This window comes from Homo sapiens, chromosome 3 (genome assembly GCF_000001405.40).
Source record: "Homo sapiens chromosome 3, GRCh38.p14 Primary Assembly".
In the NCBI taxonomy this organism is placed as follows: Eukaryota; Metazoa; Chordata; class Mammalia; order Primates; family Hominidae; genus Homo; species Homo sapiens.
The window spans coordinates 105,711,926-105,732,375 of record NC_000003.12 but is presented as its reverse complement, the minus strand read 5'-3'; the positions used below and the strand labels follow the sequence as shown (position 1 = coordinate 105,732,375).

The 20,450-nt window shown below is 35.0% G+C and overlaps 1 protein-coding gene across 44 annotated transcripts in view, besides 1 other annotated feature; it reads left to right on the top strand.

Annotated features, from left to right (window-relative positions):
- CBLB (Cbl proto-oncogene B) overlaps positions 1–20,450 on the top strand; it is a 213,989-nt gene that overhangs the window by 137,074 nt on the left and 56,465 nt on the right. For 41 of the 44 annotated variants that reach the window (NR_135810.2, NR_135811.2, NR_135808.2 and 38 more), the window contains one exon: positions 12,126–12,329. Coding sequence is in view for 35 of the 44 variants with exons in the window: in XM_011513257.2 (XP_011511559.1) it covers positions 12,126–12,329 (204 nt within the window). In the remaining 9 variants the exon portion in view is untranslated. Of the gene's footprint in view, positions 1–8,186; positions 8,351–12,125; positions 12,330–17,062; positions 17,177–20,450 lie in introns of all 44 variants that reach the window. The other 3 variants (NR_135809.2, NM_001321820.2, NM_001321822.2) reach the window with 3 other exon arrangements.
- Positions 11,569–12,768: an enhancer, noted in NCBI's record as "P300/CBP strongly-dependent group 1 enhancer chr3:105438452-105439651 (GRCh37/hg19 assembly coordinates)". NCBI's record gives its function as "activates an origin of replication core promoter dependent on BRD2, BRD4, P300/CBP, MED14 and CDK7 cofactors, with strong dependence on P300/CBP, by STARR-seq in HCT116 cells {active_cell/tissue: HCT116}" and the evidence as "EXISTENCE:reporter gene assay evidence [ECO:0000049][PMID:35650434]".

Sequence of the window (20,450 nt, the reverse complement as noted above, 5' to 3'; positions counted from 1 at the left end):
CATTCTCAACATAGATACTTGATTCCTATTTAAATTACATTAACAGTAATAGTTCTGCAAACTTAGCAGTGCCTTTTAAACTACATTCAATAAATGTAGATATGTTGGTAGAAGACAGAATTGTTTGCAAGTTTATTTCAAATGTGTCAGTAGGAGGTATTATAGAGATATTGACTCAGTGATAGATTGTCTGTAATTGGACTACTTAGGATTGGTGTACCTGATAATCATTCAGTGTTTCAGGATACGTGTTAAACTAACAAAGAAAACAAATTGTATTTGTCACCCTTCTTTGCCTTCAGGGTGGTAGTGTGGTTTTTACAAGTACAAAGAAACTAAAAGCCTTGCATTTCTCCCTGAAGAAAATCAGAATAATAGGCTGATACAAATTCCTAACACTCTGCCTCCATGCAGGGCTTGTGTATTTCAGCCATTTTTCTTGGGGCTCCAGTCTTAGAGCATACACATGCATACATGTTGCAAGACTTCACATCTGTAACTCAATACTGTGCTTAGTATTTGGAGGTTAAGTTGGTTAAAAGTCAGAAGCTGCTATGAGTTTGACAGAAACATTTGTTTAGTAAAATGTTTTGTTCAAAGCATCATACAAAATAGTTTACTGGCCAGGCATGGCGGCTCACACCTCTTAAATCCCAGTACTTTGGGAGGCTGAGACAGGAAGATCCCCTGAGCCCAGGAGTTCGAGAACAGCCTGGACAACATAAGGAGACCCCGTCTCTATAAAGTAATAATAATAATAATAAAATAGTTGTTTGCCTTGCAGCCCAGGGTGAGTAGAAAAGTATGGCTGAATATAAAGCAACAAATATTTATTTTACTTTCTATATACTTCTTAAAAGAAAGTTTATTCTTAGTAAATAAATACTACCTTTACTTAAGTCCTAACTTCACATTGTCAGTACATTCTTGGAAACTGCAACTTTGAGCAAAGTGACATACTGTATGCTGTAGGAACCTTAACTCTTGTTTCTATCAATTAGCCTAGGGTAAAATGGATTTCATTATACAGTAAGTTGTTTCACTTAAAGTCTCAATTTCCAAGAACTAATTAACAATATTAATTGAGGACTTACTGTATTTATTTGTTAGGTTTGTGAACTATTTGCAGTAGGTTCATTATGTGCAAAAGGCATAGGAACATTTCCCAGTTGTCTTTCTGTATTACTAATGCTGTGTAATCACCACAACATTTTACATCACCACAACATGTCTATGTGTTACTGTGCATTCTCCAAATTGGTGTAGTTCCTCTTGCTTGTTGCTTATCAATTCCTTGAATTATTTCATGATTTTTTATATTGGCCTAATGACCTTATATGAAGATATGTTCAGTAATGTTAGTAAGTTGTTAACATTTACTATTTCTCTTTTTCATTCTCAGCTACTTCTCAGTTTTACTTTTATAAATTGAGGAAGTACATAATTGTCAAGCTCTGAAAATTGTGTTTAGCTAAAATTTTAAAAGTTATGTGAGAGTAATAGTTTACTAAGTAAAGTAGAAACAAAAATGACAAATTCAAAACTATTCAGAAGGTTGAAATAATAAATTACATTTATGTTACTAGACAGTAATGTTATTGTCTTAATCTGATCATTGAATTTTGCACCTAAATTAATGAAAAATATGCAAACCTTTATTTTCAGTATTGTTTTTGAATTCTCCTCACACAAAGCAGCTCATCATTAATAAGCATCCTCCTGATACATTTTGTATATGTTTCTGTAAGCTCTTACCTCATTATGTTCATATTGTAAATATTTCCATATTTATGTATTTTCTTTCTAGAATGTGGATTACTTTACCTATTTTAGAATCTCTCTGCTAGCATGTTATCTGCACATTGGTCATTACGCAGTAAATACTTATAGATTGCATGCTAGGTAATGTAAAAGAAAAGGAAGTCTAAAAGTACATTAAATAAAAAGACAGTATTGTAGGTTGTGAAAAGCTCTTACAATACTTTTCTGAGAATTATTTATGATCTTTTCAAAGACCTTTTATCATACTTAGTATCTGAGAACGAATCCTAGAATATCTAAGGCTTAGTTCCCTTTGTTCCATTCACTAGCTATTGTGTGATTTCCTTAACATTTTACATTGTGATTTTTTTCCACCCATTCTTGAACCATGTTATTTTACGTTTATTGTATGCAGTACTACCAGCACTAACACAGAAGCAGTAAGACTGCATTTTTATCGCTGTTTTACACCAAAAAAAAAATATGCACAGTAATCCCCGGTTCATGTTTTCTCTCCCCCTAAAGAAAATTATTCTTAGGTCAATAATTCTAAATTGATATTTCACAGTCTCTGTATCTCAGTGGGATCTTACTGGTCAAAGGAAGTTTCAACTTTTGAACATTTCTACTTTTGGATAATCTAAATATTTTTACATTTAGATACAGTCTTCACGTAGTGCTTCCTGCCAACTAGCGTATCTGTTTTGGCAGCTTTTGTATTATTGCATGAACAGGAATGTTTGTTGATCATTAAAATATGTTATTGCAAAATGCCTCTGGTATTTAATAAAAATAAAAGTCCTATAAAGTTAATCTAGTTAAAGCACAGTTGTAAAACATTAGATATGCTGAAGGTCTCGTATCTGTAATCTCACCTAGCTGTGCTCACTTGACTTAACCTAATTGATGATAAATATGTCAGTAAGAAGAACAAAATTATAGCACACTTCATAGTTCCACAAAATATTGCCAAAAGTGGTATCTAAGCTTGTACATATATAGAGAAATGTTCTCAAGGTATTAGGTGTCTGGACTTAGATTAAAATAACTTACGTCTCTCTTGTTCAATTTTTTCCTCATTCAAAAATGGTACCTTAAAGACATTGTTTTTGTTTTATATGATTAAATTTGCAAGCTTAACTGTGCACAGGAAGAATTTGTTATTTTGCTTCTTCCTCTTACTGGTTTGGTAGAAGCAAACCAAGATGGTTTCAACTATCATTTTCCATTTATTTATTTATTTAGGAAACATTCTTTGAGCAGCTGCAATATCCCATGTTCTGTAGTATGCTCTGAACTGAAAAGAACTCTGAGACACAATCCTTAGCTCCAAGAAGTTAAAGTTAAAATTAAACCTGAAATTTCTATTAAGGGGCATGGTGTTAATAATTACTTAAAATGAGTATCCTGTTATCCTTCAAATTTAATTATGGCTGCTAGACATTTTTTCTTACTTTCTACTACGTTGGTTGGGCATGCTGATATGAACATGATTTTAAAGGCTGCGTGTCTGCCAAGAAGCTATGATAAATCAGTTAGAATCCAATAGGAAATATTAAACCCTGACCATAAATCATACTCTGCTCAGCAGTGTGCATTTTTAGCAAGTCATTCTTCACCAACTTTTCCTTCCATCTGATGCCCTACTTTGGTTTAATTGAAATTCATTAGAGACTTAAATTTTATGTAATTAACAGAAAACTTAAGAAATGCGCAGTAGCTGTGTCAGTAGTTATAGGCTGCAAGTGGTTACTCTTTAATTGCTGTCATAATGGCCCATTAGTCATGCCTCTGAAGAGGTGTCAGATGCTTTTTTCTCTTTCTGAAACATCTGTGTTATTTAATAAATTGAATAAGCAAGCAGAGTTTGCACAGAATACTAAGTAAGTTGAATAATCACCTTTCTAGAGACATTCTTTGAAGTAATACTACTCTGTGTGCAACATTTTTGTGCTACCCTTAGTAATAAAACTTGGAGAGTTGTCTTTCACATCCACGTGTTAATGGGACATTAACAAAACGTTTATCTTCTCAACCCTGAACTTCTGCACATCTTCCTTTGTGAGGTAGTATATTATGCAGCAGTGATTCTGCAGCATTACCATGTAAGGTTAAAAGTTAAGGAATTGTTTTCATTCTGTGCTTATTTCAGGAATCTAGAAAATGGCTTTTGATTTGTAGTTCTCCTTGAAGAGGTTCTTCACATCCCTTGTAAGTTGTATTTCTAGGTATTTTATTCTCTTTGTAGCAGTTGTGAATGGGAGTTCACTCATGATTTGGCTCTCTGTTTGTCTATTATTGGTGCATAGGAATGTTTGTTATTTTTGCACATAGATTTTATATCCTGAGACTTTGCTGAAGCTGCTTATCAGCTTTAGGAGATTTTGGGCTGAGACGACGGGGTTTTCTAAATATACATTCATGTCATCTGCAAACAGAGAGGACATAAAGAAAGAATCAATATCATGAAAATGGCCAAAATGCCCAAAGTAATTTATAGATTCAATCTATCCCCATCAAACTACCATTGACTTTCTTCACAGACTTAGAAAAAACTACTTTAAATTTCATATGGAACCAAAAAAGAGCTCGTATAACCAAGACAATCCTAAGCAAAAAGAAAAAAGCTGGAGGCATCACGCTACCTGACTTCAAACTATACTGCAAGGCTACAGTAACCAAAACAGCATGGTACTGGTACCAAAACAGATATCTAGACCAATGGAACAGAATAGATGCCTCAGAAATAATGCGACACATCTACAACCATCTGATCTTTGATAAACCTGACAACAACAAACAATGGGGAAAGGATTCCCTATTTAATAAACGGTGTTGGGAAAACTGGCTAGCCATACGCAGAAAACTGAAACTGGACCCCTTCCTTATATCTTATACAAAAATTAACTCAAGACGGATTAAAGACTTAAATGTAAGACATAAAACCGTAAAAACCCTAGAAGAAAACCTAGGCAATACCATTCAGTACATAGGCATGGGCAAAGACTTCATGACTAAAACACTAAAAGCAATGGCAACAAAAGCCAAAATAGACAAATGAGATCTAATTAAAGAGCTTCTGTACAGCAAAAGAAACTGTCGTCAGAGTGAACAGACAACCTACAGAATGAGGGAAAATTTTTACAGTTTATCCATCTGACAAAGGGCTAACATCCATAATCTACAAGGAACTTAAACAAATTTCCAAGAAAAAAAAACAAAGTCAAAAAGTGGGCGAAGCATATGAACAAACACTTCTCAAAAGAAGACATTTATGCAGCCAGCAAACATGAAAAAAAGCTCATCATCACTTGTCATTAGAGAAATGCAAATCAAAACCACAATGAGATAACCATCTCACGCCAGTTAGAATGGCGATCATTGAAAAGTCAGGAAACAACAGATGCTGGAGAGGATGTGGAGAAATAGGAGTGCTTTTACACTGTTGATGAGAGTGTAAATTAGTTCAACCATTGTGGAAGATGGTGTGGTGATTCCTCAAGGATCTAGAGTCAGAAATACCATTTGACCCAGCAATCCCATTACTGGGTATATACTCAAAGGATTATAAATCATTGTCCTAAAAAGACACATTCACATGTATGTTTATTGTAGCACTGTTCACAAGAGCAAAGACTTGGAACCAACCCAAATGTCCATCTATGATAGACTGGATAAAGAAAATGTGGCACATATACACCATGGAATACTATGCAGCCATAAAAAAGGATGAGTTCATGTCCTTTGCAGGGACATGGTTGAAGCTGGAAGCCATCATTCTCAGCAAACTAACACAAGAACAGAAAAGCCAACACTGCATGTTCTCACTCATAAGTGGAAGTTGAACATTGAGAACACATGGACCCAGGAGGGGAACATCACACACCAGGGTCTGTCAGCGGCTGGGGGGCAAGGGGAGGGATAGCTTTAGGAGACATACCTAATGTAGATGACTGGTTGATAGGTGCAGCTAACCACCATGGCATGTGTATACCTGTGTAACAAACCTGCATGTTCTGCACATGTATCCCAGAACTTTTAAAGTATAATAAAAGAAAAAAAAAAAAAAGGAAAATGGCTTTTGAGCTCCTGAATGGAACAAACCCCAAACTGTGTTCTTCATATCTTCCTTCCAAAATAAAAATGTATATCTTTGTCAGTTGGATATGCAGCTATGTTTTGAATTACTGCCAAGGACTTTAATTCAATTAAATGTAAAATTAATTTTCCTGTGGTTATTCTTCCTGTATATTGTTTGATATAATTTAAAAGAAAGATATCAGCGTATTCAAAATAGTAATTTACAAAAAAATCAATAAACTCTGATTTTAATGTGGAATATGATTAAGGAGATTTATAGATGTTCCATATGTAGAGAGTGTTGTTGGGAAAATGTATATAGTTGTCTGAGAGAGGTGAGAAACAAGTTCAAATGATCACTTTTAAGGCAATAAGAAATAATCTTTGGCCAGGCGCGGTTGCTCACACCTGTAATCCCAGCACTTTGAGAAGCCGAGGTGGGTGGATCACATGAGGTCAGCAGTTCAAGACCAGCCTAGCCAACATGGCGAACCCTGTTTCTACTAAAAATACCAAATAACTGGGCGTGGTGGCGGGAGCCTGTAATCCCAGCAGCTTGGGAGGCTGAGGCACAGGTGAATGGCCTGAACCCTAGAGGCAGAGGTTTCAGTGAGCTGAGATCACGGCACTGCACCCCAGCCTAGGTAACAGAGTGAGATTCTGTCTCAAAGAGTAAAAAAAAAAGATAAAATAAAATAAATGTTTTACTCTATCTTCCTTCAAAGGCGACCAGTCTTCACATTTCTAGCCTCAGTGAAATTTTATAACTTAGGTACTACAAATAGAAAATAATACTTGCCTTTACGAACGTTTTAAATTGGCACTTTTGTCTTTAACCACCCGTTGTGTCTTTTGTGTAAATGAGTGATTAAATGTTGGAGCTTCCCTTTCACGTTGGGAGTAATAAAGAAGCTGCGAGAGTTGTCCAAACACGTTATAGTAACATTATGAACTAGAGCGATGCACTAGAAAAGGAAAGGAACTGATGGATATGAGAAAATAAAATCTGGTAGAATAAGTGCTTGATTCTTAAGTCTAATGACTAAATTAGATGGATGCCCACTATATTGTAGAGTGTGTGGACCGTAACAGATACTGGCACTTTGGAAACATTTTCAGTTGACTCCAACATGGATCTTTTATAGGTGTTTTTAAAGTTGACACCATTTTTAAAAAGTGTTTAGAATGTAGACTCATTCTAAATGACCAGCTCATTCTAGACCAACTTCATGCATTAAAATTTTAAATTGGATTCAAGCAACAAATGTTTAAAACAAAAAGCTTTTACTATGTAAAAACGTGTCCTCAGAAATGGTATAATTATTCAGATACATTTTATGTCTTCCTGTTAAAGAGCTGAAACTTTTCAATTAGAGCGAACAGAATATTCATTGATTGTAGTAGTTTTTTTAATTTTGATATTTGCAATTTGAACAAAATAGTTTTAAATTTTTTACATTTATGAATGATCAGTAGTAGCAACCGGCTATTTTTCACCTTTATTTTAACCTTGACTATGAATCTGAGATTGAAAAACCACTACATGCTGATCCTATAGTGTAGTGTTGAAATGATTAGACTCTTGAAATAGATCCCCTTGTTGTGATTTCCTACTTAGTATTTTTTGCTATGTGACCTTCATCAAACTAGTAAACCCCTTTTTCTTGTTGGGGAACAATAATTGTACCTACCTTATAGGATTAAATGAATTAATATTTAGAGAGTGCTTACAACAGTGCCTGGAATTTTAGTTATTATTGTTTCTAATAAAGTGCTTAGGAGATATCTCATATTTCCAGTTATGATTAATCTATGCACATTGATAATTCTGCAGGTTTAAAATTGTATTCATTACATTACAAAATGGAATTCGTATAGAGATACGAGTTTTTTCAAAAGTTAAGATATGTTTCCTTAGTTTTCTTATTATATTTATTCTTGAGACTATTTTTATACTAATTATGCCAACTGGAATTTTTATAGCACTTTATAAAGCTTTAAACTAATTTATCTCATTTTATCTTTATGGTGTCTCTAAATGTGCATTATCTCATTATGCCCTGTAAATAAGATGCAATGAATTGCCCAGTGTCACACAGCTGTAATTGGGGAAGGTAGAAGTCCAGTCCAAGTATCCTAATTCAGAATGTCTGTGCTCCTTTTCTGATTTACTATGCAGGCTTTTATGGGCATCCCAAATCAAAACTAAAAGAGTCTAGATTCACCAATGTCTTTTTTCCTTGTCCATCATAATAAACCAGAACCAAAGATCTCTCCTGCTCTGGGGCATTTTGTCTAAGATTACTATTAACTATCCTTCCTTATTCTTTCATTCGTTCTTTCAGCCAGAAGTTATTGAGTTTCTGTGGGAGATACTGTGCTTTGAAAATTCTTGGTATGGATCCAACCTATTCTCAGTGCATTTATATACATATAATTTTTCCAGTTATAATTGCTATGTTTAAAAAAAGATTTGTGGCAACCTCATAGCTACATGAAATATAGCAAGGTAATATAAATTAGAAGTTATTGATAAAGGAAAAAATACATACATATGCATACACATACAGTAAAAATATAAAATGCACTCCAAAATGAGACTTAGGAGGCCCTATGTATATACCCTACAGCCCTTGATGTATATTACATATGTGGGAAGGCATAAAGTGATTGACCTTAAGTCAAAGTATGCCTCTAATAATCATGCTGAGAGCAAATAATTTATACTATATATAATGCTATCTTGAAAAACATTTAAAAGAAGGTATTTAAGATATAGTATGTCTGTCTTAGCAATATTTAAACAAAGTATGGAAGGTGATTGATACATGATGATGATGAGATGGTACTAACAATATTCATTTGGGTTTTTACATAGAGTATTTGTGGAGAATGTAGTATTATGAAGGTTTAAAATTTTTTTCTATTTGTTTGTCAATGTTAATTATCTGAGTTTACCTAAAGTTATATTTTAAGTAATGTCACTGACTTACAGTATTAATGGTTGAAATGTGAGTCTGAATTATTTTACTGTATTATGAGAAATGACAGAATTTAGTTTCAGCTGTGTATAGTATTCACTGATAACTTCTGTATCCTTTGGTTTAGAAGTATTTCTTATTCGAGGAAGTGAAACCTACTGAGTCATTTAGAATAGACGGAGTCCTCAGTACTTCCTCTTAACATTCACAGAATGGTGGAAACTAGAAAATGAGTTATTTATTGGTCTTTATTCTCCATTAATGCATATTATTTGATCTTGCATTAAGTATACATTGACAGAAACATTATTTTAATTATTGTATTGAAGACATTCTTCATGTGTATTTAATCAACCACCTGACAGAAACTAGGGCAGAGTAACCAAAGTAACATTTGAGACTTTATGGTTAGACGTCTAATTTGCATGTGACAGTAGTCCATTTATAAAGTGTGATGGATGAAGTCATATTAGAGTAAGTACCATTAGAGACACATTCATTGTGATCTGTGTTTTTGCAAATCAAAATTAATGGTCATTGCAGCTGTTTGTTGATCTGTTGAGTAATGTAAACTCTCAACAACAAAGCTGAAGAGAAGATGTATTTTGTGATATCTACTCTTATAACAGGCACTCTTAACAACATCAGTAATTTGTATAACATTAAATGTTCAAGTAGCATAGAGAAAAATCTAAATTCAGTTTTAGATGAACAGTTCTTTGTTTTTTCTTGTGCTATAAAGACACAGTTATTGCCTTTCACCTCCTCCCCCTTCAAAACTCAATATTTTCAGTTATCTCTTGTGAGGAAATATATCACATAAACTGGAAGTCATCCTTAACCAGAGCAATATGTAAGTTGACCCTGGAGGTTCAAAGAGAAACTTACGTAGCCTAATAGTGTGGCTTGCACATTCTATGCACTGTACTAAAAAATAATGTAACTTTCATGATTTCGATTGGGTGGAATAATTTTTAGTTACGATTAGGTCTTTAAAAGGTTCTTGGTTTTTAGTTATGATACTAAAATATTTACCAGTGAATTTATATGATGTGTAGGAGGTACTTCAAAACGATCTAAGAGTGAAAGGAACAAGAGAACATATAGATGAAACTGGACTGGGGATGAATTGATAATTGTTGAAGTCGGGTGATAGGTACATAGAAATTTATAGTTTTCCCTCAAATTTTATGTGTATCTGAGATTTTCTATAATAATTTTTTTAAATGTATGAGACTATGTACGTCTCAAAGTACTGCTTTCCATTCTTCATGTGTTAAAGACAGAGGGACCATCAGATCTTCAGATCTTGCTTTCTTTTTTTCTTTTCTTTTCTTTTTTTTTTTTTTTTTTTTGGCACGGGGTCTTACCCTTACACCTAGGCTGAGGGCAGTCATGCTGTCGTAGCTCACTGCAGCCTCAAACTCCTGGTCTCAAGCGAAGCCCCCAGCTCAGCCTCACGACCAGCTGGGACTTCAGGTGTGTATCACAACACCTGGCTAATTTTTTAAACATTTATTTTTTATAGAGACAAGGTCTTGCTATGTTGCCCAGGCTGGCACAGCTTGCTGTTAAATAAAACTATCTTTTTGAAATTGTCTTATGTAAATCTGTAAAAGTATTCCACTATAGGCACCTAATATGGATCTCTTTTGACTTTTATAACAAGGGGAGTTTTGCCTAAATGATAATATATATTGAATATGACTTTAAATTTAATACTCTTTTTATAGGAGAAAGATTTTGCTTTTCTTAAATATTTACTCCTGTGTTAGAAAATATCATTGCAAGGAGGTTATCAAAAATAGAAGAATTAAATCTTGGTTTTGTTATCTGTAAAATGATGGAGCAAATAATATTTAATGTGTTTTGAAGCCCCCTGGACATGAACATGTATGGTGGTAAACCTTGAAGGATTCTATATTTATATGTCTGTATTTCTTTATACCACCTTAGTTCAACTGTTTTACCATTCCAAGTTTCTTTTCCAAATTATGTACAAGCAGATGAATAAGAATATGTTGCAATTGATTTTTCTTAAGCAAGCTCAGTGTTTTTTGTTTTTTGACACTTTGTTTGGCAAAGGAGGTGTTCAATTTGTTGAGCTGACTGAGACTTAGAAAGAATAAACTATCACAGGATCTGCCACAAAGTAGATGTGAGGTAGTTGTTCAGTGAGAAGAGAGTGAGAGAGTTATTCCATCCTTGATCCAAACATCACTGTTGGGCAGGTAGATCACTAATTTCCTATTAAACCAAGTGGACAGGACAGTCCTGAATTAATTATGGAACAGTTTCTTTAAAGACGTCAGCTCTCTGCATCCCTTGTCTTGCCACTGAAATGGTGCTATTTCATCCCATTTCTCCCTTAAAGTAATTTTGTGATTTTTGCCACTTTTAAATAACACATTGCTAAAGTCAGGGTATAATGCAAAACCAAAAATCGGGTGGAGAATATCATATACCATCTTATCTCTAGAAAGCAATGTTGTCTGTAGGGCAAGAAAACAGTCTTTATTTCCCTGCAAATTGTGAATTTTTAATGTAGTTAGTTTTGAGAAATGAATGTAGGAAACTTTGAGCAAAACATCCAATAATGACCAGTAAATACATTTCCAGCCCAAAAGTATTTGCACAAATCTTTTTGTATCATATTGTTTAAAAGCAAGATAAGGGCAAAACTTAGTATCTCACAGAGAACTTTATATTTGAGCTGTGTGTCAGGATGACAGGCTTTCAGGACAGATGATGGCTTTTGAATATAAATGTACACATTTTAATTTTTCCTAATTGTGTATAAAGATTTTAAAATACACAGGCAGTTAAAACAAATATTTAGCCACAGTTAGATGCACAAGTATTGTATTTTTCTCACCGATACTACTGCTTTATTATGAATTTTTACCAAAATATACTTTTTTATGGAATGTTTGGTTAGTACTGCACTCTTTTCATAAGGAGAGATACGATTCAATTTCCAGTTTTCTTCAGGACTCTAATGCCTTGATACATTAGAATAATAAGTGAACAGTCAGGAAAATAAAGAGGTTTCTTCTCTTGGGAAAATCAAACTTTCTTAAAACTTTATTTTTCCTTCGGAAACTGAAGATACTGACCATTTATTATACATTTTGTTGGCTCCCTGTTCTATACCCACTACCACTTCAAGAGAAATCTTCCCCCACCTCCTACCCCAAAAAGTCTTTTTGGGGGTGTGACTTTTATAGTTGTAGAACATTATTAGCATTTCTCGGTACTGTTTATTTTGAACAAAACCAATCCATGCATTTTCTATTTGTTTAGGAGTCGGATGGTCAGGGCTGCCCTTTCTGTCGTTGTGAAATAAAAGGAACTGAGCCCATAATCGTGGACCCCTTTGATCCAAGAGATGAAGGCTCCAGGTGTTGCAGCATCATTGACCCCTTTGGCATGCCGATGCTAGACTTGGACGACGATGATGATCGTGAGGAGTCCTTGATGATGAATCGGTTGGCAAACGTCCGAAAGGTAAAACTAGAAACATGGGTTTAGTTAAGGTGATGTGACCATATGAAAAGGAAATGATGCCGTCATAAATGGAGTATGACTCAGCGTATTTGAGTTTAGAAAAGAGGCACACACACATACTAGCCTAGGCCTGTACAGGGTCAGGATCATCAATATCACTGTCTTCTACCTCCACATCTTGTCCCACTGGAAGGTCTTCAGGGGCAGTAACACACGTGGAGCTGTCATCTCCTATGATAACAACGCCTTCTTCTAGAATACCTCCTGAAGAACCTATCTGAGACTATGTTACGGTTAACTTTTTTTCATAAGTAGGAGTATACTCTAAAATAATGATAAAAAGTATAGTATAGTAAGTACATAAACCAGTAACATTCATTTATTATCATTATCACATATTATGTACTGTACACAAGTATATGTGCTATACTTTTATGCAACCAGCTGCACAGTAGGTTTGTTTACACCAGCATCACACAAACACGTGAGTAATGCTTTGTGCTATGACGTTAAGGTGGCTATGATGTCACCCACCAGGCAATAGGAATTTTTCAGCTTCATTATAATCTTATAGGATCACCATGATGTATGTGGTCCATTACCGAAATGTCATTGTGCAGGGCACAACTACTATAATGTTGACAGGCTGATATAATCATAGTTTGAGAGAGAACTAGATTCTCCTCAAGGTACTCTCATTGGTTTTAAACATCATAATGAGAGGTAATGAGAGTGTTTGTATAAAATTAAACGTCATCTAACACTGGCAATAGCAAATCTGTGAAGAAAAAATTTAAGAAAGGAAATTATTAAATTTGGAAATGGTGAAACTGAATTTGATTAAAAATATTCTTTGTTCAAATCTAGAAGAAGTGTCTGATAGAGTTTTTTCTTAATGGGAAGGCTGTCTCACTGTTTGGCTTCTAAGAGGTCACATAAGATTTACTTTTGTGAATTTACCAGAATCTGAGTTTGCTCATTAATGTTGTTGACTCACAAAAATTGACCTTGTCAGTTCACTGAGAATGGATGTTACTGCCCAGTTTAAGTTTATATAACCAGGTACACAACAGACTAGTCAATGAACCAGAATGCCAACTGATTAATTTACAGACCAGAAATACAGTGGTCAAGAGAGGTAGACTCTTGGATATCAGGCTATTCCCTGTACAGGAAGATACATGAAATCCCAATTACTTTCACAAATTTTTTGCTCTCAAAATCAGAGAAATGGGATTGAGTGGTGTGAAAGGTCTTCATATATGGTGCCACCCTTCCTCCTGACTTGGGCAGACATGGCTAATCAGTCATGATACTTACCGCCGCTGAGTTCAGACTTGGCCAACAGAGCCTTTCAACACAGCCCTGAAGATCTTCCACTGTAGTTCATTAGGATTTGGCAGGTAGCATGAAACCTATTTGCCATTGTCACTAGGTGGAGTGATGATAATGTGTAATGGCATCAGATTGTATTCACCGTATTCATCTATCTCTGTAGGAAGGAAATGCTTGGTAGTGGAATTTTGACAAGGCATTTCTTTGGGTTACTTCATTTTTAGGGCTGTGTGCGAGTTTTCCTCTTGGGAAACTCCTGCATTTTCTCCCTTCCAATGTTCCATGCTGACCAAATACATTCCCTTAGGATATTTTACATACAAATTTTTACATAGGAAGATATGTTAACATCACCAACATGGCTACTCTCAAATTTTGCATTTTTCTGGAATGATTTTTATTATTTATCTTATTGGTTTTTCATAAATGTTATAATTTAACACTCAGAGAAACTACACGATTTCACTCTTTAATCCTGAAAGATACAGTTTTTATTAATAGTTTGAATTATGTGATTTTTTTTGACCTAAGAAATGGAAGAAAGTAGTTATTCCTCAGAAATCCTGAAGGATGAACAAGAAAAAATAATCTTAGATTGAAACAGACTTGAGACTTGAGTCTCAAAACAAAGTTAACTTAAGGAAGACGTGGAATAAAGCACCAGTTCTGCTACAGAGTAGTAATGGCATGCTAGGCAAGTTATATAACCTCTTTCTTCCTCAGTTTACCCCTTCGTAAAACAGAAAAATAATAGTAGCTTCTCTGTTGGGTGTTGTGATGATCAAACGGGATCAAGGACCTAAGAACCTAGAAGAACGTCAGGTCACCAAAGTCATAAATGCTCACTATATTATTACCAATGTTAATTAATAATACTATGTAATACATATTCTAGGATATACTCCATAATCTGAGTTAGTAGAAATCATTTCATCACTATGCATGTGAGAGAGCTACATATGCGGAGCTGGTGATATTGATGTACTGTTCCCCAGAAGACATAAGTTTGAATACTGGCTCTACAATGTACAAATACAAACAAATCACATGACTAGTCTGAGCCTGATTTCCTCTTCTGAAAAATGAGAAGAATAATACCTCCCTAAATTGTTGAAAGAATGACATATGTTATTAATGCTGGTTTTATTGATTTGTGACCCTTTTTACTGCAAGTTAAAAATGATTTTACATTTTAAGTGGTGTATATTTAAATTCCTATATAAGTACCTACAAAATGTCCTTGATTTTACATCTTGTCCTAAAATATTCACTACCTGGCCCTTTAAGAAAAAGTTTGCAGCCCCAGGTCTAGGACATAGTAAGCATTTAAAGAATGGTTATTGAATGGATGGATAATGGAGAATGACAGAAAAGTATTTGAGATACAACAGCTCAAGTAGTTGAAGTGCTCCAGGTAGCAGTGTTTTTTTTAGCTGTGAAGACATTTCAATTTTCTTTACTAAATGGGTTTTCATCTTCAGTGATCCATGTGAGAGGGTAGGTCTAGGCTTTAAGAGAAATTTTAAAAAGAATTTTTGTATACCTTACTGCTTGGGAGAAAACAGTATCTGCCCTATGTGAATTTGGGAAAAGTTGCAGTCTCAACCTGCTTTCCATTGAATTAAGTTGAAGCTTGAGCCTCTTTTCAGTAGTGGCACTAACAATCGAAAGGAAATGCTGGGAACATAACATGAGAAGCAGAATGTTCCAAGGTGACTCTAGTGTTTCTCCTTGATCTTATCACCCGCTCCCAAGACCATTCATATTTCATTCTCTCTGGCACACTGGTGAGCTTTCTGTCAAGGGAGCTGAGACATTTTCAAATTGATCCTTTCTGTTTTTTACCCCACAAAGAGTAGAATGATGATCTCAAGCATTATTGTCCTAGAAGTCACACTTCAGTAGCTTATTTGGCAGTCAGCAGTGTCATTTAATAAAGCTTTACTTCACTACAATCTTGTTATACTTTCTTATGGGAGTTAGATAGTTTAGAAATTTATATCACTTGTAATTATTTGTTTTTAAGTTGAAGAGGTATATTTCAGTTAAATGTCTTTATGTCTACTAATCTGCCTCTAGTCAATTAAACTGATTGTGACTTTTATAGCATTTCATAAATGTGTACCACTTAATTTTCAATAAAACCTAAATTTTTATATAGATACAAGCATAATTCTTTCTGAATAATTTGGAAGAATATTGCTATGATGTTATGTTCTTATAGTATTTTATATGTACTTCTATATCAGGAGTTACACTAAATTGTTATTTAAAGGACTGTCTTTAAGGCCAGGGACAATGCCTTGTATTTGTGTTCCCAGGCACCTAAATGCACTCAATAAATATTTACTAAGTGAACTAATAAATGCACACTCCTGCACACATGTTCCTTTAGGGCAATGACCTAATCTTATGCATATTTTAAACTTTGTTCCAACCTGAATACTAAATATATATATACACAGAGCATCAAACTGATAGATTTTATCCAGTTTTTTCTTATAGGAGTGGTTATAAACAAATGTCACATGGTCATTTTGACACAGTAGTTCTTCTACCTGAATGTTCTTCCTCTGTTTTTTAAATCATTCTTTTGTCATTCATTCATGCATTTTCATTCATTCACTCATTCATTTATTCATTTATTTTTTAATTAACTGATGAATTAATTTAGAGCTGGAGTCTCGCTTTGTTGCCCAGGCTGGACTGCAGTGGCACTATCTTGGTTCACTGCAACCTCTGCCTCCCTGGTTCAAGTGATTTTTCTGTCTCAGCCTCCCGAGTAGCTGGGATTGCAGACGCCTGCCACCACGCCTGGCTAATTTTTGTATTTTTAGTAGAGACAGGGTTTTACCACATTGGTCAGCCTAGTCTCGAACTCCTGACCTCAAGTGATCCAGCCGCCTCAGCCTCCCAAAGTGCTGGGATTACAGGCATGAGCCACCGTGCCTGGTGCCTGGACTTACTCATTTATTTTTAAAACATTTTATTCTCTCAGTTAAAAGAGTGACTGCCAGTGATTGTCCAACAGAATGGTTCCATTGTTTCTATCTGCCATTTTGAATACTCATCTTTTTCTTCTTTTATGAGCGGGCCAATGATAATATTGTGAAATTGTTTCTTCCTGTCTTCAGCATATTACATTCTTTAAATGAGTAATGCTGCCATCGTAGCATGGAAACCTGCTTTGATTGTATATTCCTGTTACCATGGTGATATCCCACAGCTGGAGTTCATAAATAGTAGCATACTAAACATATAGTGTATTTCTATTATTTCTTTTATAGTTAAATGTGTTTAATAATGCTAATCCTTACAGAAGCAATAGAACCTAAAAGTCTATAATACATACTTTTTGATTCCCTCTCTGATAGAAAGTATTTTGTGATACTAACTAGAATATGTTTTAGATTTTGCCCAAGTCTGTATCGTTGCCTGAGTTTTCAAGCTGTCAGAATCCTGGGATAATTAGATCTGATGTGAGCCCTCAGACAAAGTCCAGGATGTGACTGGTAAGATCACAGCCTTCTCTCTGACTTCATTCAGATCAGAGCTAAAAAACAGTATCTGTTGCTACCCAGTGATTTGCTTCATTTTGCCAGAGGATTAAGAGGAATCTTAACAGTTTTTCACAGTATTAGTCACCAAATACATAACATTTACATTTGAAATAAATAAAAATTTGCATATAAAAATAAAATGTTGACAGACTGAACTAGTGAATGAGCCCAGATTAGTTCTTATTGTCTTAAACATTGTATTTTCTTAAAATAATATTTAAAATCTTAATGGCCACATTAGAACAAAAATGGGTATGAACAAAAGTCAAGGAAGTTATTCTTTTTTATGCATTCTCCTTTGTTGCCTTCTTCAATTAAAATACATCTTGCTAATTAGAAATGTAACATGTCATCTAAGTATTGCATTTCCTAATAAGTGTGAAGAACGTCTCTATAGCAGGGGTCCCCAAACCCCAGGCCATGGACCAGTACCAGTCTGTGATCTGTTAGGAATCGGCTGTGCAGCAGGAGGTGAGCAACAGGCTAGTGAGCGAAGCTTCATCTGTATTTACAGCCACTCCCCACAGCTCGCATTACCGCCTGAGCTCTGCCTCCTCTCACATCAGCAGTGGCATCAGATTCTCAAAGGAGTATGAACTCTATTTTGAACTGCACATGGGAGGGTTCTAGGTTGTGCGCTTATTAGGAGAATCTAATGCCTGATGATCTGTCACTGTCTCCCATCACCCCTAGATGGGACTGTCTAGTTGAAGGAAAATAAGCTCAGGGCTCCCACTGATTCTAAATTATGGTGAGGTTTATAATTATTTCATTATATATTATAGTGTAATAATAATAGAAATAATGTGCATAATAAATGTAACACATTTGAATCATCCCAAAACCATCCCCTTCCCCTCCCTGCCACCGTTCGTGGAAAAAATGTCTTCTACGAAACCAGTCCCTGGTGCCAAAAAGGTTGGGGACTGCTGCTGCATAGTATTCCTGATCCTAAGGAAAGGGGTGTGTGTGCATATCACAGTGTTTTGCAGCTATTTTTAGGAGGATGTTGCCTTTTTACGTTGTCTATTTAAATCTGAATCACAGGATTAGAGTCCGTGTTGGAGCCGTAAGATCAAAAATTACAACAGAAGTGAAATACAAAAATAAAAATAGACATTCGAAATGCAGAACATGGTTCTCAACTATAGGCAATTTTACCTCTTGAGGGTATTCAGTAATATATGGGGACACTTTTGTTTTTTGCAATGACTAAAGGATGGCAAATACTGCTGGCATTGAGTGGGAAGGGCCAGAGATACTAAATATCCTGCAAGCCCATGGGTGGTCCTACCCAAAAGAATTATTCTGACCATAGTACTAATAGTCTAGTCCTCACCACTGCCTTCCCACAACATTTAGGTAGAGCCGTGAGTGACAGTAAGCAATCCGAAGGCACAGGTTTGTTGTTCATCGTTTACTTGCACTCTGTTTACTGATCTTCTAAAAGCTCTTCGTGCAAAATAGTGGTATTTTCTTTATTAGCATGTGATTAGCAAAAGAAACAACTGCATCATCCAAGTGCTGTGTGATGTCGTAGGATACCTTGAAGACATTGTTACTTATTTCTCAAAAATAACTTGAATACATAGTATATTAGAAGAAGCAACACTTGAACTCTAAAAGTTTTGAGTCCACTGCCTCAGGTAGATTGTCAGCTCCTTGAGGACACAGGCTATGCTTTATTCTTCTTTCCATTCTTAGAGGTTTGCATGGTGCTTGATACACAGTAGGCCCTTGAGAAGGATTTTTTTTTTTTTAATGATCAGTGGTGACACTGTTCTTAATTGTTATATTCTTAAGTAGAGCTGCCCTCTTGGAGTGAAACTGCCTGGGCTCATCTTCTAGTTTTCCTACTTAGTATCTATGTGCCTTGTTTTATTTAACACCCCCTCCCACTCCCCTTCCCCCAAGTACTTGGTCCATAAAACTCTGCCTCTTTAAGATTAAATGAGTTCATATATATAAAAAGCCATTAGAACAGTGCTGGCACATGGAAAATGCTAAGTATTGGTTGTTATTAATATTATTTTTAAAGTAAATTAACAAAGATGGGGTCTCACTCTAATGCCCAGCATAGTCTTGAAATCCTGGCCTCAAGTTATCCTTCCACTTCGGCCTCCCAAAGTGCCAGGATTACAGGTGTGAGCCATCACACCTGGCCACATTTTTTATACTAGTGTTATTTAAGACTCCTGAAATATTGCTGTACTTCTAAGAATTAAGTTATTAGTATTTTTGAGTTGTCTATGGAAGGTTTTCTTTTAGATGTTGATAGCATTCCATTAGGAAGAATTAGATGCCAAAATTTTATTGGTTACCAAGCAATTGGTTGTATTTCTTTAACATATTAACATCTATATAGTTATAATTTCATTGCATGACCACATTAAAATAATTTACTGTTAAACCATGCTTCAAGTTTGAAACTCAGAAAATGCAAACTTGTCAACATGTCAGCTGAAACACTATTTTGAGGATTAAATAATTTAGATAAGGTTACAATGTTCTTATTTTCTGTATAACTAAGTTGAAATGATTAAGTATTATCTAAAGTAGGGTGAAGAACTACAGTAACCAAATAGCAATTGCTTGTTCCAACCAGCTTTAGCTGGCATTTGGAGAGCAATAAGGGTTTTCACATGAAAGCATTTTTTCAGTGACCAAAATTTATTCCTTTAATTCTCAGAATGTTCTTGTTTCTTGGCCATTTTTATGGAAATATTTCTGAATTATATGTCACCCTTCCCTGCCTTCTCAAAATTGGTTATGCAGCTGAGCGAACCAAAGGGCATAAGAAGCCACTGTAGTCAACATGACACATTTCTAAAAGCTTACATTTTGCTACAAGATTTGAGGGTAGCTTGCATAAAGAGAAGAGAACCATAAATTTAAATTAAAATCACACATATATTTGGATCAGGATATAAAATTTGTGTAAATGTTTAAAGTAAAATACAAAACTTTAAAGAAATTTCAAGGTTATGGAGGCTGATCATAGGCCAGGAGATCAAGTCCCTCTCATAAGAAGGTACTTCAAGGAGAAGCAGTATCATCACTTGTGTTAACAGTGTTTAATATTTCAGTAGAGCAGTGCCCTTAAGGTTATCCCCAAGTGTGAGACTGCACTACTTTAAAGGAGACCTGTCGGCAACTTTATTGACCACTTCTCTGCCAGACCTCAAAGAGAAATCAGCTCTTATTCCATTTGGTGTTTCTTAATATA